Source organism: Homo sapiens, chromosome 13 (assembly GCF_000001405.40).
Source record: "Homo sapiens chromosome 13, GRCh38.p14 Primary Assembly".
Lineage (NCBI taxonomy): Eukaryota > Metazoa > Chordata > Mammalia > Primates > Hominidae > Homo > Homo sapiens.
The window spans coordinates 67,228,576-67,232,716 of record NC_000013.11 but is presented as its reverse complement, the minus strand read 5'-3'; the positions used below and the strand labels follow the sequence as shown (position 1 = coordinate 67,232,716).

Here is a 4,141-nt window from a genome sequence, read left to right as displayed (position 1 = left end):
GTAATAATGGGTTCTGCCAACACGTGAAGCTATCCTTAGCAAAGAGAAACAACTCCGTTTAATAATGATGTTAAATAATTATTGCTAAGCTATGTGTTGCGACTACAACATGACTTTGAAATGACTACGGTATGATTAGAATAAGAATATGATATAACTGTGGTGCTTATGAAATGAACTGGAAAGTGGCTGTGCTGCTATGTTTATTGTAAATGTATCACAATGATGGTTCATTTATTTAAAAACAGTGCAGTGCATAAAATAGGTGACAATTGGAACAATGTACTAGCTTTAATTGTAGATTTTGTGAATGGCAAAATGATCGTTTACTGTGGTAAGATAAAAGAATCATCCTTTCATTCACTGACATTATTCTGTGAGGCAATATTTTTCTTTTCACTTTGGGATACTTGTAAGTCCTTTCTATTCTTGAATTTTATATATTCTAATCATACAAAATATTACTATAATAAAAGTTGCTTTGCTATTTAAAAAATATCAGTCTATTATCTGCAAGGAAAGTATTTTATATTTTACATATAAGGGATTAATGGATTTTACAGTGGGCTTTTAGACACTGCAGTTGAACTGTGAATATTAACTCAGAAAAGTTTGAATTAAAAAGAGCTTACAATTTCATGTTGGAAAATTGTGATGTCAAATTAGTTGGTTAAATCATGTCATTATTTATTCAATATATGGCTTAGTAAGCTTGATTGGTGTTTTTTTTTTTTTTTACTTTTCATTTAAACGTCTAAAAACAAATGTTACTTAAAAAAGAAAAAAAGCAAACAAAACTATTGTACTCAAAAACAAGGGGTAATCTCCAACACGCCCTCAGTCAAGAGCTTAAGTATGTCAAGAGCCTTTAATGCCTAGGCAGCCCATTATAGAATGGGGAACACACAGGTTTAAAATAAATGCCCTTTATTCTTCCTGTAAGTTAGACCAAGTTATTCAATCATGTACTAAGACCTTCTCTGACAACCTTTATAGGTCATTCAGAAAATAAATTTTTGTTCCAAGTGAACTGTTCCTATGTTAATGCTTCAAACTTTACTCAGGTATCAGGCGTTAAGTACAAGCCATTACACAAACCTTTGTGGTTTACTGACTTTGAAAGATCAATCAAATATATTACTAGATAGTGCTTTGGGGGTCAGTATTTGAGAAATAAAGCTGTATTTTTTGGGGAGTCATTCCATCCAGTTCCCGTATGAAAACGAGAAACTTGTGAGGATTTAGTACAGAGCTGGAGTCGGAGAAATGAAATGCACGGGAAAAGACGAAAATCACAGGAAAGAAAGTTGGAATCAGCAGAAAGTGCCTAGGGGAAAGGAAGTGTTCCACAGCTTGGGAAACAGCTGCCTGGGACTCCTTCCAGCCCCTCGGAAGCAAAGTTCGCAGTGAGGTGGGCTGGAAGCGGGTTTTGCAGCAGCCGCGAGTCCGGGCTCAGGTTTCCAGGCGCGGCTGGAGCAGAAGTGCAGGGACCGCCACGATCCACCGCCGCGGCCGGTCCCGCTCCGCTAGAGGAGACTTCGCACGCGCAGCCGACTGGCCCGGGCTGACCGAGGGGACCCAGACGCTGCCACTTTCTCTTTCCAAGGCAGTTTCCGTGGCTCTGCATGTAGGAAGTGCTCCGATTAATTTTCTTTCCGGTCTCCGCAGAGATTCCAAATTCTGCGGTCCCCACCTTTCGCTGTACTCCCTCTCCGCCCTTCTTTCCAATGTCCCTGCCAGCAAAAGCCTCTATTTGCAGCACCGGGCATGTTGTCCGTTTAACGCGCTCCGGGGATCTGCTGGCTCGTGCTCCCAACCCAGGGGTGGCTATACGTCTCGCGCCTCTGTTCCTGGGTAGACTCCCCCATCTGTGCATTTTGGCCCCTTCACTTAGCAAAGAGATGTGCGAAGTGTGCGCCTGGAGACGAGCCGCCTCGGTGACCCCCATCCGCCCGCAGCGGTGGCCCTGGTTCCCCGGATCCGCGCCCGCGCCCTGCGGGTCTCCCGCGCCGCCCTTGCCCGCCGGACCACCCGGGCTCAGAGGGTCGCTCGCTTTCAGCGCCTGCGAGCGCCGCTTCCGCCCGGGCCTGGGGAGCGCCAGCGCGTCCCTCCCACGCCGGACCCTGCAGAGCATGCTCAGTGCACCTCATGGAACCCGGCTCTCCTGGGGCCAGGATCAGATTTCCGGGTTTTCGCTGCTGCCGAGGGGGCGCGGAGGAGGGGAGGCTGGGAGACAGTCAGCGCCTTGTTCCGCGCTCCCTCCCTCGCGCCGGGCTGCGGCCGCCCGCGCCGCAAGATGCAGGCCAATCAGAGCCCGGGGGCGGGGCCTGGGCAGTCACGCCCTCCCTCTGGGCTTATTGAGAGTTATATCAAGAAATTCAGTTCAGAGAGAGGAGAGGGAGAAGGAGAGAGGGGCAGAGGGGAAGGGAGAGAGGGAGAGCACGCGAGACGGAAAGGAGCGCCTCAGAGTCTCTGAAGCACGCAAGAGATAACCGATTAGGAATTTTTCGGGCAACTGTCACCCGGATAGCTGTCAGAGAATCATCATCACCGCAACTCTGACGTTTCCTACAAGAAGTTAGAGACTTAAGCAGTATTGGCATCGGATGGAAATGGTATGCATGCTGCTGTGGAAAATATCCCTGAGCTGAAGAAGTGCAACTATGTGTTGTGTGTGCTAAATGCCCAGAAGAACCCAGACCCAGTGGGTAAGAGAGACGAAATGTGGAGAGAATGACTAACGACAAATCCGTGAATTTGTTCTCTGGAGTTGCTAATTTGCCAGCCCGAAGCAACACATTTTACAAGGAGGAAACATTTTGCTGCTTCTGATTTCTCCCCAAACTGGTGCTACCAGATGCATGGCTTTCTATGTGTTGGAACAAATCATTCCTAACTGCAGCATACTGGGAAAGGGGAAAGGTTGAGGCAACTAACGTAAGTGTAAAGTTTCGCATGCACAATTGTAAATTCTGTGTTTAGATGTGTCCTCAGTGTAGGCGAAAGATGCTTGTAATTGGGTAGACGGTTGGGGCAGAGCTCACCTACTCGGCTGTATCTGCATCCCTACCTGCATCACTCTGCCGGAACTAATCGCGGGCATCAGCTACTGTGCAGCCTAATGCAGATAAGATTAGAGCCTGAGAACTGACCAGTCCTACTCAAGTAGGTAGCTGCCTGGAGCCTTGCACCCATTTAAACTGCAGTTATCTAAGCAGAAGCCTTTTTACCTGCATGATTGGGTTGCAGTATTTATGTGTGGCAAATGTTACTAATATTCTAACCAGAGATCAGGATTAAGAAATTGCATTTTTTTTCTCTTTTATGTTCAGTAGAAAATATTGTGATGTTACATGGGAATGTTAGCTGCGTTTCACTTATATCTCGGCACTCTCTTCCACCTCTAGGAAAATGAATCCTATATTATTATACATTTTTAAAAGTTTTAATGTGTTTATGAATCCTAATGAGGATAATTTGTCAATATGGAGAAAGGAGAGCAAGCTGTGGGCAAGAAATCTGAAGTCTTGTTGTTGTGCTTTTAGGCAATGAGGATGTGTAGAGGCCGGTGACTATTGCTTCTGATGCCGCTGCAGCGGCATGTCCGGATGCTCGTTTCCCAGTAAGATTGTATTAGAAGGCAGTTGAAGAACTGGGAGGAAAGAAAAAGATAGCCTTTTTAGAAAAGATAGGTGACTCAGTGGGGCAGAGAAGAAAACACATTTGACATGTGACAAAGCAATTAGCAGGAACCGTAGCTAAATACTTAGTGTTTTTCACTTGCACCTGAAAAGACTGAGGGAGGTAGGTTAGAGGCTAGGAGGAGGGTGAGACAGGGGGAGGGGAAGAGGAGAACAAGAATGCATGTTTTGAATTAAACAGTATTCTGAAAAACAACGTGCGTGAATATAGGTAAAAATAGCAGCTGTCCTTAATTCAAAAGTAGAAAATTTTATTTTCTCCCGGCAAATGCAACCAGCAGGAGATATTTAGTGTTTTTCTCCACAGAGTAAACTTGCAAACAGTGGCAGAGCAAACTGCCATGTTTACTAATGTTCAGGGGAAAATGTGTGGTGATATTTTGTGACGGTGTGTTTTTATTTACTGAAGAATAATATTGTCTATACAATTGTGTTGACAG

At 45.3% G+C, this 4,141-nt stretch overlaps 1 protein-coding gene across 10 annotated transcripts in view, besides 1 other annotated feature; it reads left to right on the top strand.

The window, feature by feature from the left end:
• Positions 1,971 to 2,110: a silencer, noted in NCBI's record as "silent region_5391". NCBI's record gives its function as "represses an Ori minimal core promoter by ATAC-STARR-seq in GM12878 lymphoblastoid cells {active_cell/tissue: GM12878}" and the evidence as "EXISTENCE:reporter gene assay evidence [ECO:0000049][PMID:35858748]".
• The window catches only part of PCDH9 (protocadherin 9), a 927,503-nt gene continuing 925,742 nt past the window's right edge, over positions 2,381 to 4,141 (top strand). For 8 of the 10 annotated variants that reach the window (NM_001318373.2, NM_020403.5, NM_001318372.2 and 5 more), the window contains exon 1: positions 2,381 to 2,937. The gene's annotated coding sequence lies outside the window, so the exon portion shown is untranslated. The remainder of the gene's footprint in view (positions 2,938 to 4,141) is intronic. The other 2 variants (XM_017020619.3, XM_017020621.3) reach the window with 1 other exon arrangement.